The sequence below is a fragment of the Homo sapiens genome, chromosome 8 (genome assembly GCF_000001405.40).
Source record: "Homo sapiens chromosome 8, GRCh38.p14 Primary Assembly".
Lineage (NCBI taxonomy): Eukaryota > Metazoa > Chordata > Mammalia > Primates > Hominidae > Homo > Homo sapiens.
In genome coordinates, this window is record NC_000008.11 from 123,328,864 (window position 1) to 123,351,786 (window position 22,923).

A 22,923-nucleotide genomic window follows, 5' to 3' on the forward strand; every position below is an offset into this window, starting at 1 on the left:
GATCTCGGCTCACTGCAAGCTCTGCCTCCCGGGTTCATGCCATTCTCTTGCCTCAGCCTCTCCGAGCAGCTGGGACTACAGGCACCCGCCACCACGCCCAGCTAATTTTTTGCATTTTTAGTAGAGACGGGGTTTCAACCTGTTAGCCAGGATGGTCTCGATCTCCTGACCTCGTGATCCGCCCGCCTCGGCCTCCCAAAGTGCTGGGATTACAAGCGTGAGCCACCGCACCCGGCCTATCTTGAATACTTTTAATCTTGAATACTTTTAAGGAGGGTACTGACATGATCTGTCTAATGCATATTTTGCAAAGATCACTTTGGCAGCAGTATGAGAAATGGACTGGAAGAAGGGCAAGACTTGAAATAGGCTACACTTATTGAGCATTTATCATGTACTAGAAACTATCTTACTACATTGCCTAGACTGGAGTGCAATGGCTATACACAAGCACAATCTTGGCGCACTACAACCCCAAACTCCTGGGCTCAAGCGATCCTCCTAACTCAGCCTCCTGAGTGGCTACAACTATAGGTGTATGCCACTGCATCAAGCATATACTAGGAATTCTTCTAAGCCCCTTATGTATGCTTACTCATTAAAATTTAATTTAACCTGGCTGGGCGCGGTGGCTCACGCCTGTAGTCCCAGCACTTTGGGAGGCTGAGGCGGGCGGATCACGAGGTCAGGTGATCGAGACCATCCTGGCTAACACGGTGAAACCCCATCGCTACAAAAAATACAAAAAAATTTGCCGGGCATGGTGGCCGGTGCCTGCAGTCCCAGCTACTCGCAGGAGAATGGTGTGAACCTGGGAGGCGGAGCTTGCAGTGAATCGAGATCATGCCACTGCACTCTAGCTTGCGTGACGCAACTCCGTCTCAAAAAAAAAAAAAAAAAAAAAAAAAAAAATTTTTCACTTTAACCCAATGAAGTTTGCTACCATTATCATCATCATTTTACAGATGAAGAAACTAAGGTACAGAGAGGTTAAATATTCTGTCTAGACTAGATGCAGTATAACCACACAGCAGTAGTCCTGGAAAGAAGTGGTAAAACTTTTAGGTAATAGAAATGACAAAGGAGAATGAAAGATTACCTTTCTCCCCAGTGGCTTCTTTTTTTTTTTTTTTTTTTTTTTTGAGACAGGGTCTTGCTCTGTCACCCAGGCTGGAGTGCTGTGGCATAATCAATAGCTCACTGCAGCCTTGAACTCCTGGGCTCAAGCAATCCTCCTACCTCAGTCTCCCAAGAAGGTAGGGCTACAAATGTGTGCCACCATGCCTGGCCAGTGTTTTGTTTGTTTTTTAGAGATGGGGTCTTGCTCTGCTGCCCAGGCTGGTCTTAAACTCCTGGCCTCAAGCAATCCTACCACCTTAGCCTCCCAAAGTGCTGGGATTACAGACATGAGCCATAGTGCCTGGCCTCTGTCCAGTGATTTTCTTAATGGTGTTTGGGAACTTGTCTGCTGCCTCTTGGTTGTCAGAAGCTGCTTCTCTTGTTATCTTGATTTTTTTTTGAGATGGAGTCTTGCTCTGTCACCCAGGCTGGAGTGCTGTCACCCAGGCTCGGCTCACTGCAAGCTCCGCCTCCTGGTCTCACGCCATTCTCCTGCCTCAGCCTCCCGAGTAGCTGGACTACAGGTGCCGCCACCGTGCCCGGCTAATTTTTTGTATTTTTAGTAGTGATGGGGTTTCACCGTGTTAGCCAGGATGGTCTCGATCACATGACCTCGTGATCCGCCCACCCTGGCCTCCCAAAATGCTGGGATTACAGGCGTGAGCCACCGCGCCTGGCCCTATCTTCATATTTTTTAAGCCAAACCTCTTTCTAAAATTATCAAACCATCTTTTGCTGGCATTAAATTCCTTCTGCTTTGTCATATAATGACTTCATTTTTTCTTGAATTGTATTAGAGTCTACAGGTATGCCTTTCTTATAGCAATCTTGCATCCGGATAAAAGCTGCATTTTCAATATCAGACAAAAGGTATTTCACAAAAAGTACAAAGTTTTTGCATTTGCTAGTGCAGCTGCAACAACAGCTTCAAAATTTCCTTCTTTTCTTTCTTTATTTTTTGAGACAGTCTCACTCTACTGCCCAGGCTGGAAGGCAGTGGCACGATCTTGGCTCACTGCAACCTCTGCCCCACTGGGTTCAAGCAATTCTCTTGCCTCAGTCCCTTGAGGGCTGGGATTACAGGAGGAGCTGGGATTACAGGCGTGCACCACCATGCCCAGCTAGTTGTTGTATTTTTAGTAGAGACGGGGTTTCACCATGTTGGCCACGCTGGTCTTGAGCTCCTGACCTCAGGCAATCCACCCACCTTGACCTCCCAAAGTGTTGGGATTACAGGCGTGAGCCACTGCGCCTGGTATTCTTTTCTCTCTTTTGAGACAAGGGTCTCACTTTGTTGGCCAGGCTGGAGTGCAGTGATGCAATCTGGCTCACTGCAAACCCCACCTCCTGGGTTCAAGTGATTCTCATGCCTCAGCCTCCCCAGTGGCTGGGATTACAGGCACTGTCTACCATGCCTGGCTAATTTTTTTTATTTTTAGTAGAGACGGGGTTTCACTGTGTTGACCAGGCTTGTCTCAAACTCTTGATCTCAAGTGATCCACCCGCCTCAGCCTCCCAAAGTGCTGGGTTTACAGGCGTGAGCCACCATGCCTGGCTCTTTATTATTATTGTTTACAATGGTCCTTATACTGGATTCATTTGTCTTGAAAGGGCAGGGTACTACAGCTGCAGACCTCAATCTATGTTACATAACAAACAATTCAACTTTATCTTAGAAGGTTATGACTTTCTCTGCTTCTTGGGAGCACTTCCAGCATTACTAGTGGCACCTCCTATGTGTCCTATGGTGTTACTCAAGATTTTTTGTACTATACTAAACACACACAAAAAATACTTGAGAACCGCAAATCACTTTTTACTGCAATAAGCAATTTACTGGACAGGCCAACTGCTCACCGCATCACACATCGTTTTAAGCAGATACTCATGAAACTTGAGCTCACCACAACAGCCACAGGAGGTGGCTCCAAAATTACGGTAGTAAAGTTATGTACTATAGTAAATTTTATGCAGTTGTGATTTAATACTGAGTCTTTACATTTGTTTAAATTTCTCTTGACTGCAAATGGTGCTATGTACGATCTGTGTTTGTGTGGTAAGTTTTGATAAATCTTAACTTTTTAAAATAGACTTGTGTATATTTTATGGTGGTGATAAAATAGACTACTGTCTATACATATTGTATGCATCTGTGACATACCTAACTTTTTCACTATTTCTAGGCTACGTGATTCAATCTGCAAGTTTTTTCAAACTGTTGCAAAGCTCCAAAAAAATTTCCAAGATATTTATTGAAAAAAATCCACACATATGTGGACCTGTGTACCTCAAACTCGTATTATTCAAGGGTCAATTGTACTCAGAACATAAAAATGAAATGAATATCCACCAACAGAAGAAACTCACATAATCAGCACCCAGATTGAGAAACAGAATATATACTAACATTCCAAATCACCCTTATTCTAATTCTAGTCATAATATCCTAAAAAGTAAATAATATCCTGATTTATGACACCATGGATTAGTTTTGCCCATTTTTGACTTCATACATATATAAAAATTTTAAATACATATTTTAAAATTTATTTCACATGTAAATGTATCTAGGATTCACTCAACATTGTTTGGGAGGTTCATCTGTGCTGCTGTATGTAGTTGACGTTTAAGGATTCTCACTGTATAATAATTCATATCTTTCCATTCTACTGGTAATGGGCATTTGAGTTACCCCCAGTGTTGAACCATGACTTTTAATGGCAAAACCACAACCACTTTTGTACCAACCTAATATTATGAATATTGCTTCTTTGAATATTCTTGTACATGTCTTTTGGTGGACACAAAATATGTAATCCTGTTGGGTATCTATCAAACGATTGTTTTAAGGGAGCCAATTTCCATATATATATATTCTTGCTTAAAGCTGATTTGACTGTCAGCATTCTGGTAGTGAAGGCCTCTTGCTAATTTTCTTCTCTTATCTTTCCTTTCCCAGCTGCCTCCTCCCATTTTTTCAAAAGAAGGGCTTATTCTTTATCTATCTCAAATCAATTACCCGAGGATGGACAAACTTGCAATACAATAGAAGGTTCAACCCCAGCAAACACCGCTAACCCTAACCTTAACACACACACAGAGATCTAAAAAGGTAGTGAGGAATGGCCAGGCGCAGTGGCTCACGCCTGTAATCCCAACACTTTGGGAGGCCGAGGTGGGTGGATCATGAGGTCAGGAGATCGAGACCATCCTGGCTAACACGGTGAAACCCCGTCTCTCTAAAAATACAAAAAAAAAAAAAAAAAAAAAAAAAAAAATTAGCCAGGCATAGTGGCGGGTGCCTATAGTCCCAGCTACTTGGGAGGCTGAGGCAGGAGAATGGCATGAACCCGGGACGCAGCGGTTGCAGTGAGCCGAGATCGCACCACTGCACTCCAGCCTGGGTGACAGAGCGAGACTCCGTCTCAAAAAAAAAAAAAAAAAAAAAAAGGGTAGTGAGGAATTACAGTGCTAAAATCTGGGAAAACAAGTGAATAACAGAGGCTGAGAAGCTAAGCAGTCTGACAAAGGGGCTTAAAGAACAAAAATTGGAATTAGAAGTCTGCCAAGGAAGGCAGGCCTTAGAAAACCCTACAGGCTTTGAATAGGTAACGTGGAGTTACCTTCTAAGAATAAGGGGGAGTAAGAAATAGACCAGAATTTACAGACATCAGTTTCAAATCAAGACAGTCCACAATTAGATGGTGACTTCTGGGTTGCAAGTGGTACATTATAAACTTGGATTTATTTCAAGAATGCAAAGTTGTCTTAATAGTAACAAAATCAATGTAATTCACTGCATTAACACAAATAAAGGAAAATAAGGGAGAAAGTTAATGGCATTAGAAAAGAATAAAGTTATAATTTCATAAATGAAAACTACTTGAGTACTTACCAGGAGTGCTGCAAGCCACAGGAGTACTCGGTGTCTTTAGCTTTTCATTCTGCTCTGGGTCTGATCTTTTATCACCAACAAGAGTGGAATTTTGCTTTGGCATCACATGGTAGTAAGACGGGGCATATTTGGAGGAGCTACAACCTTATAAATAGATATGTGGGATGTCAAAAGGATTTCCAGATTTCAAAATTACATGAAGGATTAACTAAAAGTACAAAATACATCTGAAGCATCCTTTTCAGATGCTTCTGAAATTCATATATTCTGAAATTCATTGATAATATTAGGTTGGTACAAATCAACCAAATCACTTTCCTACCTCTTTTCTTTCTAGATTCCTGAATTTCTTCACAGAGCTGCTCAAAGTCTTCATCAAGTTCTTCTTTAATTATGGCATAGGCAGTATCTCTTAAAGCACAGGCTCTATGCCTAATAAGACGATCTATGAAGTGAGTAAAAAATGTAATTTTTAATTTCCCCCTTTTAATAATATACCAAAAATAAACTCAGCATATTAGGCTAAGATAGTAGCTCTTACAATTCCTTTTGACTTTTACCAAGAATAGTCAAAGTTACTGGAATTGTCCTATTCTGTTTCTGGAGCTAATCTAATGTTCTGGACATCTGATTCAATATGGCAAACTAAACCCAAACAATTTTACTGCTCTGTCCTGTTCAGATCCCTTTGAAATATCAGAAAAAAAAAAGGAATCAATCAATAGCAAGAGATTAAACATGATAACGAAAAATAAAAGAGAAGGCTATCAGTGTCATTAGTGAACAAAGAATGTGAAAGAATTTTGCAAGAGATTTATAGAGGTTGTTATTGCATTGACAAAGAAAATAGACAAAGACAATGAAAAAGCAACCCTCCACAGGAAACACTGGGAAAATCCTAAGCTCAGAGTATGAATACTACAAACTGGAATATGATTTGAGGCAGAAGACGGAATAAGTGAATGCAGGATTGCTTGAGCCACATCAATACTCCTCAAAGGACAAGAGATTGCAAAATTCACTCCCAGGTTATACAGTACATTACACGCAGAATGCTGAAGTGGGCTTTCTAACATGGCATTTGGGCCTGAAGAAAGTCAGGGCAAGGTCGAAGTAGTGGTTCCAGAACTCAGCAGCCTGTGTCACCGGGAAACTCATTAGAAATGCAAATTCTCAGGGGCCACACCTACAGAATCAGAAACCCTAGAGATGGGGTCCAGTGATCCATATTTTATGAAGTCCTTTAGGAGATTCTGATGTCCACTAACATTTGACACCACTAGCCTGAAGTAATTTTAGATTGCCACAATAGACAGAAAGGGAGCAGCAGCAACAGCATGATTGCAATGCAACAGAGAAAGCCCTCTGCCTCCAGGGTACCTCGTTTCTTCTTCCTATGTACAATGGACTGTTCTCATCTTGTTAGTCTGTTTCCTACTGCTTGACTCCAGAACTCTGAACTACAGGGAAATGCCTAGGGAAGGTGAGCTAGAGGACTGGGAGGGAAAGAATAGTAAGCTTTTCAATTGTTGAAAAAAATTTTAGTAGTTTCCTATACTAATCAATCTAACTAACAAGCACCACCAATTTAAAAACAGAAAGCCAATGTACTGGAGGAGAAATGAATACAGAAAACAACTATTTTTAAAATGTATCTTTTTATCCACTGGTAAGAGTTAAAGAACTCTGCATCTGTAATAACAGGAAGCCATCAAAAAATTAAATAAGCACCCAAGAAAGAACATTTCTTGGAAATGGACAAGCTGCAGAACAAACATATCATTAAAAATCCTTTATACATTTTATTTTTAAAAATTTGTAAAAATGTATGGGGTGCAAGTGTAATTTTTGTTACAGGCACAGACTGCACATGAAGTCAGGGCTTTGGGGGTATCCACCACCCAAATAACATACATTGTACCCACTAAATTTTATATTAATAGATGCGATAGGTGAAAGCAGAAGGGGTATATGCACAGAAAAAGGTCTGAAAAGATATCCTCAAACTTAACAGTGTCTGCCTTTGGAGAAAGGAAATGGGGGACTAGATTTTTAAAAATATTACTACTAGTAAGCCCTATATTATATTGCTTTTGTAATAAAAATTATAATGGTCTTAACTAATAGAATATTTTAAAAACTATTTCATTACAGAGTGCCTACTTTTCCACTTTGAGGAAGAGCACTGATATACAAAGTATACAAGCCATTTTGTGTCTCATTAGAGGATCTATCATGTAATTGTTAATAAACAGGGATTTGGGAATGAAAGAAACCTGCATTCAAATTCTCACTCTGTCCCTTCCTGGAAGTGTGACCTTCAGCAATGTTTTTAACCTTTCTAAACTTCATTTTTACCATTTGTAAAATGGTTGTTGTGAGGATTAAATAGTATTTTGATTATGTTTATAATATAGCACCTGACACAAAAATCAACCCTAAGTGTTAGCTGCCCCCCAACTCAACCCCCTGAAAAAAAATTCACTAATGCTCACCTCCAGGATCTCTATCTGGATTGTATTCTAAGGCATTACTACAGATTAGATCAATATCTCTCAAATAGTCTTTCACAGTCAGATACTTGTGTAGATCAATTTTACTGATTACAGATGAAAGGTCCATTGGTTGCTTTATTACAGTGACATAATCAGGAACCTAAAATTCAAGCAAATGATCAAATCACAAAATTAACTCTAAACATAACATGTGAGTCAAGTTTCGATGCCAGGCAATATAGGAGATAGAGAATAAATACGTAAGAGATTATGATAATATATTTAACATAAAACCTTTCACTTGATTTAAGGCTGTTTTTGTTTTGTATTTGTTTCTATTCCTTGGGCAGCTGTATCCTCCAGTAATTGTTTCTTATTCTTGGGCAGCTGTATTCTCCAGTAACAGCCTATATTCTTTCCTCATCCAATTGCCACCCATCCTTCAGAGCAACTTAAGACGTGGCTCTCCAGGTCTCTTCCAATTGTGTAGGTCATAATAATATCATGCCTGTAATCCCCAGCACTTTGGGAGGCTGAGACAGGAAGATTGCTTGAGGCCAAGAGTTTGAGACTAGGCTGGGCAACACAGCAAGACCCTATCTCCACAAGGTTGCAGTGAAAGATAATTTGTGTCACTGCACTCCAGCCTGGGCAACAGAGTGAGGCCTCAACCCTTACTACAAAAAAAAAAAAAAAAAAAAAAGGGGGGGCCGAGCATGGTGGCTCATGCCTGTAATCCCAGCACTTTGGGAGGCTGAGGTGGGTGGATTACCTGAGGTCAGGAGTTTGAGACCAGCCTGGCCAACATGGAGAAACCCTGTCTCTACTAAAAATACAAAAATTAGCTGGACGTGGTGGCACACGCCTGTAGTCCCAGCTACTTGGGAGGCTGAGGCAGGAGAATCACTTGAACCTGGGAGGTGGAGGTTGCAATGAGCCGAGATCGCGCCATTGCATTCCAGCCCGGGCAACAGGAGCAAAACTCCGTTTCAAAAAAAAAAAATAATAAGACATTCTCAATTACTTCTGGAATGTTTAGGTTGGGGAGACAAAGTTAATTGTCTGCAGGAAAGGAAAATGCGTTACCCTGCTCTTAAAGTCTACATGTGCTTAGGACACTAACCCGGTACATGTTTCCAAATAGATAAAACTAGTTAAGAGTGTAGGCAGAACCACATAAACTCTTCAAATATCCTTTGATTGTGAAGCATTATGGCCTAGAATACACTTGATCCAAAGATTAAACTAATACCTCATCAGGGTCAACAGGCTTAGTAAACACTCGGAATCGCTTGTCAATAGCAAGCCTATGTGTAACATTTCTTAAGAAAATCCTCAGTTCTCTAAATGTATCTTCTTCTTGTTCTTCTAGTCGTTTCACTTCTTCTGCTGTCAGTGATCTTGGCTCAGGTGGTGGTGCTACTGGGAGTACCTCCAAAGCCTGCAAAACTTCACATGAATGGAAGAATTTAGTTACTGCTCCTCCATAACATTGAGGTTGACAAATGATTTAATGAAAACAGAGTCAGGATTTGAGGGATTATCTTCCTCATATATGCAAGGAATCCAAAGATTTGAAATACAAAAGTATTACCATAATCTCTAACCCTACGTCCCCTCCAGAAATCATTAGTAACTTGTAATTTGGAATGCTAATTCCTACAAGTCATTACCTCTGTTCCTTTAAGATAATTTAAGAGGCAGCCGGGTGTGGTGGCTCACACCTGTAATCCCAGCACTTTGGGAGGCCGAGGTGGGTGGATCACCAGGTCAGGAGATCGAGACCACCCTGGCTAATACAGTGAAACCCGGTCTCTACTAAAAATACAAAAAATTAGCTGGCGTGGTGGCGTGCGCCTGTAGTCCTACCTACTCAGGAGGCTGAGGCAGGAGAATGGCGTGAATCTGGGAGGCAGAGCTTGCAGTGAGCCAAGATCGTGCCACTGCACTCCAGCCTGGGTGACAGAGAGAGACTCCGTCTCAAGGAAAAAAAAAAAAAAGACAATTTAAGAGGCTATTAAACTTTGAAATTGCATTATTTCCAGGACAAAAATATTCTAACTATAAAAAAGCCTTCTTTACTAGTTTTGAACTAATGAAAATGTGTAATATGTTTCAAATATACCAACAGGTTATTTTGTTTAAATAGATATCCAATGAGTACTCAGGATGAAAAAAAGGATTATTAGAGTCCTGCCACAATGAGCTGACAAACTACTAAGGGAGTAAGAGGCATAATTATATCATTGTGATGCCATATTAGTAGTATTTTAAAAGTATGATGGGTCATAAAGGCAGAAGCAATTCATTTTGCCCATATAAGTTAGGAAAGGCTTCATAATAAAGAATAAATGAGGTATACTAAAAGGACAAGTATTTAGCCGGGCATTTTGGCATGAGCCTCTTGTCCTAGCTACTTCGGAGGCTGAGGTGGGAGGATGCTTGAGCCCAGGAGGTTGAGGCTGCAGTTGAGCCTCGATCATGCCACTTCACTCCAGTGGATGACACAGACCCTGTCTCAAAAAATAAAAATAAAAGAATAAGTAGTTCTTTAGACAGAGATGGGGGATAGAGATAGAAGCTTTACTGATGAGAGAGCAAGCATTACTAAAATAGTGAAAAGGTAAAATTATGTTACATATGGTTTAAAGATAGTGTTTTATGAGAAAAAAAATGTGGGGGTGGAGGGCTGAGGCAGAACACAAGTGCCCAAAATGAGCTTAGAAAGATAGATTGGGGCTATACTATGAAAGACTTTGTGTACCTTAAGAACTTTAGTCTGTTTTAATGGGAAGCATAGAGATTTTTAAGCAGCAGATGCATCAACCTCATGACTTAGGTTTTGAGCTTGTGTTATCAGATACATGTCAATGCCATTAACTATTTCATTCCTACTTTCTCAAAATTATTAAATATTAACTTTGATATAGAAACTAACCTGCTTTCTTTTTTGATATAGGAGGCTTAGCAGCTTGTTTTAGAATTAAATCTTCAAAAAATTTTGTCCGTTCTTCTTTATCCGGTAACTGGACATTAAAAATCTCTCCATAATCACGGATAAACAATTCTTGCACCTTAAAAAAGAAAATAAATGCAATATATATCATATATACAGATGATCCCCAACTTACAATGGTTCAATTTACAATTTTTAGACTTTACAGCAGCATGAAAGTGACATGTATTCAGTATGTCCCTCCACTTAACAATCGGGTTATGTCCAAATAAACCCATCATATGTCAAGGAGCATCTATACAGTATATAAACATATGTATGCAGTATATATACACACATGCATATGAAATGCATGTGTCAGTCATTCAAGACAATAGCAGGTTATTATACACATATTTTTAATGACAAGCTAAATTGTATATTTTTTAAACAAGTCTTTAAAGAATGTTAGATTTATGTATAAACCATGTTTACAAGAGATTAAGGAACTAAAAATCATGAGAACTCAAGAACCCAAACTACAATTAATAAAGGAACTGACTTGATGATATTTTACTTTTTTTGTTTTCTTTTTTTTTTTAAGAGACAAGGTCTCGCTCTGTCACTCAGGCTGGATTGCAGTGGCACAATCATAGCTCACTGCAACCTCAGACTGGGCTCAAGCAATCCTCTTATCTCAGCCTCCTGAGTAGCTGGGACTACAGGCACGCACCACCACACTCAGCTAATTTTTAAACTTTTTGTAGAGATAGGGTCTCCTTGTGTTGCCCAGGCTGATCTCAAATTCCTGGGCTTAAGTGATCCTCCTGCCCTGGCCTCCCAAAGTGCTACAATTACACGCATATGCCACCGTGCCTGGTCCTGATACTTAAAAGGTTTGTTGAGATCAATTAATTCATTTTCCCAACCCCAAATGAGATATAAGAAAGAGCAACTGTTCAAAAATAAAAAGCAAACAAACAAACAAAAACCAAAATATAAAGGCCAGAAGGTAAGTGTGGGCTACAAGATATTGGAAACTCAGTGGACTGCTGGTAAGAATGTAAAATAGTGTAGCTGCGGTGGAAAACAATTTGGTGGTTTCTCAAAGTTTAAACACAGAATTAGTATATGATGTGGCAATTCCACTTCTAGGTATAGATCCCAAAGAACTGAAAACAAAAACTCAAATGAGTATTTGTACTCCAGTAATCATAGCAGCTTTATTCACAAACGTCAGGAGGTGAAGATGACCCAAACGTCTGTCACCAGATGAATGGATACAAAATGCGGTATATACATACAATGGAAAAGTATTCACCCTAAAAAGGAATAAAATTTGGACACAAGATACAACATGGATGAACTTGAAAACATTACACTAAATAAGACACAAAAGACAAATACATATTCAAATTATATGAGGTACCTAGAATAAATAATTCAGAGCCAAATTATAACAGAAGTTACCGAGGGCTGTGGGAAGATAGAAATGGGGAATTACCGTTAATAGGTACAGAGTTTCTGCTTGGGATAACAAGAAAGATCTGGATAGTGGTGATGGTTGCCCAACATTGTAAATGCACTTAATGCGACTATACTATATGCTTAAAAAAATGGATGAAATGGTAAGTTTTGTCTTTTTTTTTTTTTGAGACAGGGTCTCACTCTGTCACCTAGGCTGGAGTGCAGTGGTGCAATCTCGACTCACTGCAGCCCCCACCTCCCAGATTCAAGCGGTTCTCCCACTTCAGCCTCCCGAGTAGCTGGGACTATAGGTGCACACCACCATGCTCATTTTATTCATTTTATAAAAATGGGTAATTCCTAGTCCCTGGCCCATTCTCCCCTACTTATAGAATGTGGTATTAAAATATTTTACCCAGTTTGCAATTATATGCTTAGAAAATATTATCCTAAGAAAAAAAGTAAGAGAAGCTATGCTTTAAGAAAAGATCTTTTGGTATAGAATTTCCACATTCTCGAAAAAGTTTCCCCAGATTAAACCGATTACATTTTTTCGACCTCTCCACATCCATACAAAGTTCACCTAGTTTGTCTTACTTGTTACCCGGAGCATAAAGCCATTATCTTTATTTCAAATCTCAAAATGATTAACAGTTTCAGTTGATAGAATAAGAAGCCAGTAATACTATGGCTAACAATCTTTTTTTTCCACTGTGTTAATCAGAACACTGCTAGAGTACTTCATTCATTCTGGCTCTGGCCTTCCAAAAGAACTAGAAAAAAGAAAGACATTCAGGAGAGTGACAAGAATTTTGAAGAAACTACAACCTGGTGTGCTGTGTAACAAAGTCTACTATTACCACAATCTGTATTCTTGTTCTTTGGGCACACAGCTAGGTCAGATTTCCTAGCCTTTCTTGCAATGAAGTAGGCTATGTGACTGAGCTTTAGCCAGTGGAATTTGAGAGGAAATGATTTACACCACTTCCAAGTCAGGCACAAGCAAGAGCCTGTCCTTTCAGTTGACTGTACTGAAAGCGACCTGGAAGGCTACATGATGAAAATAAGAAAACAGGCCGAGCACAGTGGCTCACCTGAGGTCAGGAGTTCAAGACCAGCCTGGCCAACATGGTGAAACCCCATCTCTACTACAAATACAAAATTAGCTGGGCATGGTGGCGGATGCCTGTAATCCCAGCTACTCGGGAGGCTGAGGCAGGATAATTGCTTAAACCCAGGAGGCTGAGGCTGCAGTGAGCCAAGATCGCACCCCTACGCTGCTAGCCTAGGCAACACAGTGCGACTCCGTCTCCAAAAATAAATAAATAAACAAGTAAATAAAATAAAATAAAGTAAAATAAAGTATCTTTCAGCCTGAGTGTTTGAATGACTGCATAGCAGAAGACAAACTTGCCAATGTAATCAACCTGCCTAGTATTGTTAAAGTGAGTAAGAAATAAACTTCTACTTTATTAATAGCCCTAATGAATATACCATATCCTGTTTAATGTGAAAAGGCCTGGATCAGCAAGACATAAAAGAGTATTCAAATATACAAAGACTTGTCATGATGAAGATGTATTAGTCAAGTTCTATATGCAATCTGGGAAATGAATGGAGATTAAGAAGTGGAAGATTTGTGCTCACTTCAGCAGCACATATACTAAAATTGGAACAATACAGAAGATTAGCATGACCCCTTTGTAAGTTAAAAAAAAAAAGAAAGAGAAATGAAAGCCTCCTTCAATAAGTTGGATTTTTAGGAGTCAAAGGTAACAAAAAGAACTGTGTAGAAACTGTTTCAACATATGAGATATCCACATAAAGGCGACAGTGTAGGGTATGAAACTAGATAATTAACTAAACTGGAAACCTTTAAGGACCTCCCCCACTCAAAGAGTTTCTAATATATACTTAATATTCATTTCCTAGCTTATTTAACTTGGAGGTTCTGTAATCAATTATTATACAGAGTCACTGGGGACATAATCTGGTCCCTTGATAACCTTGGCCTCCTTTCCTCCATTATCCCTCACTTACTCTGCTCTATCATCCTGGCCTTCTTGCTATTTTTCCAACCTGCCAGACACAGATCTGCCTCAGAGCCTCTGCATTTGCTTCTTCCTCTGCTAGGACCTTTTGTCCCTCAGCTATTCCAATGGTTCACTACCTTACGTTTTCCACGTCTTTCCTCAAATATCATCATCATCATCATTTTTTTTTTTTTTGAGATGGAGTTTTGCTTTGTCGCCCCAGCTGGAGTGCAATGGTGGGATCTTGGCTCACTACAAACCCCACCTTCCGGGTTCAAGCGATTCTCCCACCTCAGCCTCCCGAGTAACTGGGATTACGGGCACACATCACCATGTCCGGCTAATTTTTGTAGAGACAAGGTTTCACCATGTTGGCCAGGCTGGTCTTGAACTCCTGATCTCAGGTGATTCGCCCACCCCGGCCTCCCAAAGTGCTAGAATTACAGGCGTGAACCACCGCATCCGGCCAAATATCATCTTCTTACTGAGGCCTTACCTAGCCTATTTAACACTGTAACCTACCCATACTCTTTTGGTACCCCTTAGCTAAATCTTTCTCCACAATAATAGTTAGTATTACAAAATTTTTAAAACTTCTCTCCCCCACTCAACTAAAATGTTAGCCCTACATGTGTAAGGATACACGTTTTTGTGTATCTTATTCACTGTTATATCTCCAGTGCCTAGAACCACACCTGGGAGAAAATAAGCACTCAATAAATATTTCTTTAGTAAGTATTTGAGCTTATCTTCCTACTAGTGTTCTAAAAAGTGTAAACCAATTGTCAAAAGTGTGAAAAAAAACCATTAAACTCATTCATTAAAATACACAGAAGCCTACAATATGCTTGTTATGTGCTCTATGGACACAAAGGTGACAAAAAATAGTCCCTAATTTCATGTACTTTACATTCTGATGGGGAAACAGAGTCAAGCAAATTAATATTTAATGGCAGGAGGCAATACAAATAAAGCAGGAAAAGGGAAAAGAGTGTGATGGGTGAAAGAGCTATTGCTATTATTGAGAAACTCTGATCAAAGAAGGCCTCCCTGAGGTGATATCTGAGCAGAGATTTGAGAAAAATAAAAAATGATGACAGGCAAGTATGTAAGAGAAGAGTATTCCAGGCAGAAGCAGTATGGCCTTTTGTTCACTATTGGCAGTTGTCTAAATTGGCACAAACTTGAATGAGTAATTTAATATTGTTAAAACTTGTAAATGTAAAATACTCTTTGATTCAGCTACAGCTATTCCACTTCTAGGAATCAAAACTAGAAAAATCCACATACCAGTGCTCATACTAACTAAAATACAAGGATGCTCACTGTAAGAGTCCAGTAGAAAAAAATCTGGAAAACAACCAAAAAACCTATCAATAGGGCTTTGGATAAATAAATTATAGTACATCAACAGTGGAAAAACCATGCAGCTCTTAAAGAGACTTTAGCACTAACAAATACATGAATACATTTATTGATAAATGAATAAAGCAAATTGCAGAATAGTATGTATCATATACTCCCATTTTTTAAATACTTTTTTTTTTTTTTTTTTTTTGAGACAGAGTCTCGCTCTGTCGCCCAGGCTGGAGTGCAGTGGCTCACTCGGCTCACTGCAAGCTCTGCCTCCAGGGTTCATGCCATTCTCCTGCTTCAGTCTCCCGAGTAGCTGGGACTGCAGGCGCCAGCCACCACGTCCAGCTAATTTTTTTTGTATTTTTAGTAGGGACAGGGTTTCACCCTGTTAGCCAGGATGGTCTCAATCTCCTGACCTCATGATCCACCCACCTCGGCCTCCCAAAGTGCTGGGATTACAGGCGTGAGCCACTGCACCCGGCATATAATACCATTTTTCAAGAGAAAAAATTTATGTATCCTTAATATATACATACACATATACATATACCATCTTGCCCAATGAGCACATATACCAAATAGTTACCAATGGTATATTTGATAAGAAAACTTATCCTTTTATTCACTTCTACAGCATTTGAATTTTTTCAATAAGTTATGATTATTGTGGTAGAAACAACTCTTTTTGAAAGTATAATGATACCGCCCCACATAAATTACCTCTTCTGGCAAAGCGGAATGGGGTTTGTCAGAAGTTGCAAGTAGTAAAACTGGAGCAAATGAAGGAATATTCTGTAATAATGTGGTAAATGTGGCTTTAAGTGTCGGTCCAACTATTTCCCACCACACGTGGATATGAGGAACATACACTATACTTGGTGCTGTTCTCTTAGCTTCACGAATCACCTAGTAGAGAGAGAACAAAACAAATTCAGTTAGAGTCAGCACGTTAATAATGCTAGTTCTATTAGTCTGAAACAATGTTTAACCTCCCAGGAGTAACATATAAAGTCCTCAAGTTTTTAAAATGCTTCTCCAAAATCCCACAACCTTATTTTTAAATGTGGATTAAAAGTTTCATTTTTTTGGAAAAAGATAATTTCTTCAAGCAACTAGAAAACAGCTGGAGAAATCTAGAAGATTTTTCTATTGTGGTAATCAAAAGTAAACAAAACTACAAATATAAAATATTTTTATGTTTTAAAAATGTTAATATAGCCAGGCGCGGTGGCTCATGCCTATAATCCACGCACTTTGGGAGGCCAAGGCGGGTGGACTGCCTGAGCCCAGGAGTTTGAGACCATCCTGGGCAACATGGTGAAACCCCGTCTCTATTAAAATACAAAAAAAAAAAAAAAAAAAAATTAGCTGGGTGTGGCGGCATGCATTGCACCTGTAGTCCCAGCTACTCGGGAGGCTAAGGCAGGAGAATTGCTTGAACCCGGAAGGCGGAGGTTGCAGGGAGCCAGGATCGTGCCACTGCACTCCAGCCTGGTGACACAGTAAGACTCCGTCTCAAAAAAACCAAAACCAAAAACAAACAAAAAAAAGTTAATATACAAATACCAAAAACAGAAACTGCAGAATATCTGAGTACTTACTAAGGAGCAGTCACCATTTTAAGTACTTTACTCATTTAATTCTCACAACAGCCATGTGAGGTAAGTAGTATTATCTCCATTTTCCAAAAGGGGAAAATTAGAGAGATCTAACAACTTTACTAAGGTCACAAAGATATTAAGGGTGAATGTGGGATTTAAAGTCATTCTCTTTAATGACTAAGCAATCATGCATAACTCTGTTTTGTAAACCTAAAGTTACAAATCAGAAAGACAAAAAAACACAATACAAAAAAATGGGGCAATTTTAGCTTTTGCCTCTGAAAGCCTGTTTTGTCTTATACTTGGGCACCAACAAATTACCTGGGCACATGTTTCTTCAGGGGATGTAGTACTAACTCCAAAAAGAACAGGAATGTCTAATGTATATACAGTAAACTTTTCCAAAGCATGAATGACAGCTGGTGCCAAGTGAGAACCTTGCCCAAATCCTGGTTCTCCTACTATCAATATTCTTGGTCGAAAAGACATAGGTTGGTAACAAGCATTTCTGAAAGAGAAATGATTAATAAGCTATGTTTTAGAAAAAACAGTTTAAATTTTCCCCCTAAATTGTCAACTATAAACTTTCATAAGTAAAAAGTCTTGCCAATAAGGCCAACCAATCATAACATGGTTCACATAGTTTCTGGAAACTGACCCCCAAAGGTTTTTAGGAATATTTTTATAGACTGTAATTTCTACTGTTGTGACAACTGTAACAACAAAAAATTTCTGGTAGTTTAATTTAAATAAAAAGCAGATTGGTTAGCACTTTTTATTTTTTCAACCACATCTCATTTATTTTTAGAAAATTTACACATGCAAAAAACATTGATTTGCAAGAAAAATATACCTATTCAAATGAAGAAAATTAAAATTGTCTTTTGCCTTATGAGAAGATTTCTGAGAAAGTCCATTTTCATAAACTGATGGAACATCATCATCACTGTAAGCCAAGTCACTTTCTAGCAGAGGACAAGAAATATCTATAAAACCAAAAAATTGTACATTAGTAACTTTTGGATTGCAAAGCAAATCTTTATTGCTTCAGTTACCAAGTCAGCATACTTCAATTAAATTTTTTCAAAGAATCAAAAATATTTGTGTAGATATGAATTAATAAGTAAATGTAAAAATGCACCCCAAACTTACAATAAGTTAAATTAAGGGCAATCCATGGAGTAAATTTCCTTCAAATATCCCAGGTAAAGCATTACCAAATTCTTTTCAAGAGATTCTTTTACAAATAAATATTTCTGGTATGTATGAAACATTTCACTTTACTGATTATAAAAACTAACTTTAAATGGTCAATCAAGTTTTATACCTGAGTCTAATGTTTTATTTGTTCTGAATTCTGCATGTGGAAATACTCTCTGCAGGGCTTCTAAAATCTTGTCAACAGTGTTTTGCAGGAGTGGTTTCACAACGGTGGACAGTGCCTGCCCAGGTGATGTCACAGCTCTTTGGGAGGCTGGTATCATCTTTTGCATAGCTACCTCGAAATCCTTAGCTGAGATATTAATTGAAGAGAGATCCAACTGCAGTTTCTCACTAGTGGTATAGATCTGTGGGTAGCGTCGTCGTAAAGCACATAAAGCAGCTTCAGCACATATTGATTTAATATCTGCTCCACAGTATCCTATCCAAAGCAACCAGGGGAAGAAAAGAACCAGCCGACCAAACAAAGAAACACAAAACTCTATTAGCATGACCATGGTTAAAAAAAAAATTAAAAATCAGCCTCGGAATATAGTTAGCAAATATTTAAGAGTAATAAGACCAAAATCTCTTTTACCCAGTAAACTTATAGGGTAGTAATGGCCATCAACAATCAATCAACTTTTAAGAGTGCAATACACAAGCACTAAGTATAGCACAGAGGTCAAAAGCAAGAGTTTTAAAATCACACAGACTAGATTCACATTCCAGTTTGTAATTTACTAGCTGTATGACCTTAGAAGATTCACATAATGCTCTCCAGCCATTTCTTCATCTGTAGAGATACTGCTACCTACATCACAGGAATGATGTGAAAATTACATGAAATAATATATGTAAAATGCTTAAAAGGATGACTACAAAATGGTCAGTAAAGAATAGCTATTATCTTATTATGATATAATAATATATTGTATTTTGTACAATTATATTATTATCTACTCTGCCCCTGATGGCCAATTTGTCAAATATCTCTATTTAATACCAAGACTTCATGAGAAGAAAATGCCACAAATAAGAGATAAGAAACAAATATAACCTTGTATTTCTTTATTAGTCTGGTGCAAAAGAAACTGTGGTTTTTGCCATTACTTTTACAGGCAAAAACCACAATTACTTTTGCACCAACCTAATATAACTTGTTTCATATTTGAAATAAATGTAGTATTTATTTTAACTGCTTAAAACAATGTTTACCAACACAGTTTTCTGCTAGCTCTTCTAAAAATGTGTCCAGTGGTTTGGGATTCCAATCCCTGGTGTGAATCTTTAGAATCTCTTTTCGAGCCTATGAATAAAAACAATTTAATTTTTTACAACTATAATAATAAATGCTATTCAGATTACATTAATTTTGATTAAAATACTTTTGATTATCTAAAATTTTAAAGTGATCAGTACTTAATACTGGCCGGGTGCGGTGGCTCACACCTGTAATCCCAGCACTTTGGGAGGCCGAGGCAGGTGGATCACTTGAGGTTGGAAGTTCAAGACCAGCCTGGCCAACATGGTGAAAACCACTCTCTACTAAAAATACAAAGATTAGCTGGGCGTGGTAGCATGTGCCTGTAATCCCAGCTACTTGGGAGTCTGAGGCACGAGAATTGCTTGAATCCCGGGGACGGAAGTTGCAGTGAGCTGAGATTGTGCCACTGCACCCCAGCCTGGGTGACAGAGCAAGACTTTATCATAAACAACCAACCAAAAAAACTCAATATAAGCAAAATATGAAAGTGAAAATAAGAAAAAGGATGTACTTTTAAGAGTTTAATGAACTTAAGTCTCATTATTAAACATATTTGCATTTATAGCACTAAAGTTATATTCGTCATAAACACAAATAAGAGAAAAGTAACTACTAAAGTAGCTATTCATTCTGGTGCATATTAAGAGCTGTTTTTAAGAGTACAGACAGCTCTTGACATATTTTCCTCTTTGGTTCCCAGAAGATTAAGTAGACTTAAAAAAACTCGGTAGGATTATATGATGATATTCATGAAAAAGACAAGGCTAACAAACTGGCTAAGGATTGATTACTCATTAAGCCATATGTTCTGAAGCAACACTTAGAACATCCAAAGGCTACACTCAAATTGAAATAATTTTAAGAGTAATTTTGGGAAGGCATTATTATATTTAAAGAAAAGAATAAAAATTTGTCCCCATTTGAGTTGTTTACTATCATTTGACAAGACCATGATACAAAACTCAAGAATCTCCAAATTTTTACTATACCAAGACTTATTATTAATAAACAGCAATATATTTTGTCAAAATTTGAGTGACATTAAATTCTTACCTCTTTATCAGGCAGGCTAAAGAGGAATTCTCTATCAAAGCGACCAGGCCTTCGTAAAGCAGGATCTATAGAATCTAGCCTGTTCGTAGCACCAATGACCACAATTTCCCCTCTGCTGTCCAATCCATCCATAAGAGCTAGCAGGGTGGAAACAATAGAACTAAATTTTAAAAATAAGAGAGAAGAGATTAATACTATGAACACAGTCTATATCATTCAGTAATATTTCTTCTTTTGTAAGATTTAACGCATTACATGTGAATAAATTTTCTCAGGGCACCTCACTATTTCCAATGGATTAAAAAAATCTATAAAATAACATCCCAAATGGCCCACAGAAATTGAAATCAATGGAAAACAGACGGTTGTTAGACCCCCCACAAATGAATCCTAGAAGACATTTTATAAAGCATAATTTCACAAAGGAACTTAAGAGTTCTCAAACAATATATAACATCAAAAAGAAAAAAAAGGCAAGGCATGGTGGCTCACGCCTGTAACCCCAGAACTTGGGGGCTGAGGTGGGAAGAGTACTCGAGGCCAGGAGTTTGAGACCAGCCTGGGCAACATAGGGAAACCCCATCTCTATTAAAAAAAAAAAAAAAAATTAGCCAGCATGGTGACATGACCTGTGCCTGTAGTCCTACTACTTGGGAAGCTGAGGTTGTACGTAGTGAGCCAAGATTGCACCACTGCATTCCAGCCTGGGTGACAGAGCAAGACCTTGTCTCAAAAAAATAAAAAAGAAAAGAAAAAGAAAAAAAGTGCTGGTAGCACCAGGTAGGACACACAGTATCTAAAAATAATAAAATTTCCACTGTATATACATTATCAAAGGACACCAAAATAGAATATACATAAAGCATAACAGAATTTTCATTACATTTTAAACTTTTTATTATAAAGACAGAATAGTAAAATGATCTCCAAATTTCCATCACTCAGCTTCAACAATTATCAGTATGACTTTTTTAATGTCTTCACCTGATCACTTTTAAAAAGAAAAATAAAACCTCGGACACACAGTTCAATTCATAAATATTTCATGTAAGTACTTCATGTATGGATTTCTAAGAGACAAGGACTTACAACAAACCCAACAATATCATCATCCTAAGTAAATGACTAATTCTTTAATAATATCTAATACCCAATTTTTCCTGATTGTCTCAAAATACCTGTTTACATTTGATTTAGTTAATCCAGGACCCACACACTACACTTGATTATTTGTCACTGAATTCCTTGACAGTTCCCACTGTGCCTCTTACATTTTTTTTCCCTCCATGACATTTATTTGTTGAAGAAACTGGGTCGTTTGGCTTGTAGAATTTCCTTCCCACGTTCTGGACTGGGCTGACTGCTTCCTGATAGGGTCATTTAAGTTGTCCCCCTCTATCTTTCACATTTCCTGGAAACTGGTAGCTAGATCTAGAAGCTTTTTTTTTCTTTTTTTTTGAGACAGAGTCTCGCTCTGTCTCCCAGGCTGGAGTGCAGTGGCGTGGTCTCAGCTCACTGCAAGCTCCACCTCCTGGGTTTACGCCATTCTCCTGCCTCAGCCTCCTGAGTAGCTGGGACTACAGGCGCCCGCTACCATGCCTGGCTAATTTTTTTGTATTTTTTTTTTTAGTAGAGACGAGATTTCACCGTGTTAGCCAGGATGGTCTCCATCTTCTGACCTTGTGATCTGCCCTGCCTGCCTAGGACTCCCAAAGTGCTGGGATTACAGACGTGAGCCACTGCACCCGGCCTAGATCTAGAAGCTTCATGGATGCTGGCTAAACCATTTGGGATGGCATATTTCACAGGAAGATACCACGTAATTCCTATTATATCCCCACAGGAGGCACCTAATATCAGTTTCCCATTTAAGGTCAATCAGTGGGTTGAGTTTCGGTCAGGTGTTAACAGCTTGTTCCACCCATCATAAATATCCCCATCAAACTTCTTTTTTATCTTACTGCTTGAGTGGCCATTGATAATTATTGTTTAGATAAAGGTTTCCCAAATTAGCACTACTGACATTTTGGGCCAGATAATTATTTGTTGTGGAGAGCTGTCCTGTACGTGTAAGATGTTTAACAGCCTTCATCTACCAAATGCTAAGTAGCTGCCCCCACCAGTTGTGACAACCATAACTGTCTCTAGATATCTGTCCCTTCGGGGAGGGGGATGGCATCATCCCTGGTTAAAAAACGACAGGTCTAGATCCACTATTTCATAAGAGGCTGCAAAATGGTGACTTTCTGATTCAATCATTTCTTTTGCATTTATTAGCTGTGATTTTCCTATACAAAGAACTACACTACTTCATCAACTGCTGAATTACCCTCAATCATGGCCTGTATAGGACAGGAAGAAGAAATGTTTGATTCTTTCCCTCTTATCAATTTTCAGAGTAATAAATAATAACTCAGCAACCTTAGGTGACCAGTTGAATTAAAAACATTATTAAAAACTGATGTTTTTTTTTTTTTTTTTGAGACGGAGTCTGGCTGTGTC

The 22,923-nt window shown here is 38.6% G+C and overlaps 1 protein-coding gene, 2 non-coding genes and 1 pseudogene across 10 annotated transcripts in view; 2 read left to right on the plus strand and 2 right to left on the minus strand.

The window, feature by feature from the left end:
- ATAD2 (ATPase family AAA domain containing 2) overlaps positions 1–22,923 on the minus strand; it is a 96,501-nt gene that overhangs the window by 9,014 nt on the left and 64,564 nt on the right. For 4 of the 8 annotated variants that reach the window (XM_047421723.1, XM_047421722.1, XM_011516994.4 and 1 more), the window contains 11 exons: positions 20,422–20,581; positions 19,320–19,410; positions 18,229–18,543; positions 17,755–17,887; positions 17,223–17,409; positions 16,021–16,206; positions 10,448–10,583; positions 8,762–8,958; positions 7,510–7,669; positions 5,337–5,459; positions 5,015–5,158 (listed from right to left, as the gene is read on the minus strand). In XM_047421723.1, the coding sequence (XP_047277679.1) occupies positions 5,015–5,158; positions 5,337–5,459; positions 7,510–7,669; positions 8,762–8,958; positions 10,448–10,583; positions 16,021–16,206; positions 17,223–17,409; positions 17,755–17,887; positions 18,229–18,543; positions 19,320–19,410; positions 20,422–20,581 (1,832 nt within the window). Of the gene's footprint in view, positions 1–5,014; positions 5,159–5,336; positions 5,460–7,509; positions 7,670–8,761; positions 8,959–10,447; positions 10,584–16,020; positions 16,207–17,222; positions 17,410–17,754; positions 17,888–18,228; positions 18,544–19,319; positions 19,411–20,421; positions 20,582–22,923 lie in introns of those variants that run through there. The other 4 variants (XM_011516996.4, XM_047421724.1, XM_011516995.4 and 1 more) reach the window with 3 other exon arrangements.
- RNU6-875P (RNA, U6 small nuclear 875, pseudogene) lies at positions 13,551–13,656 on the plus strand (annotated as a pseudogene).
- Positions 19,171–19,267, plus strand: MIR548AA1 (microRNA 548aa-1). Its single transcript, NR_037516.1, has one exon. It is a non-coding gene; the product is annotated as a microRNA 548aa-1 (primary transcript).
- Positions 19,171–19,267, minus strand: MIR548D1 (microRNA 548d-1). Its single transcript, NR_030382.1, has one exon. It is a non-coding gene; the product is annotated as a microRNA 548d-1 (primary transcript).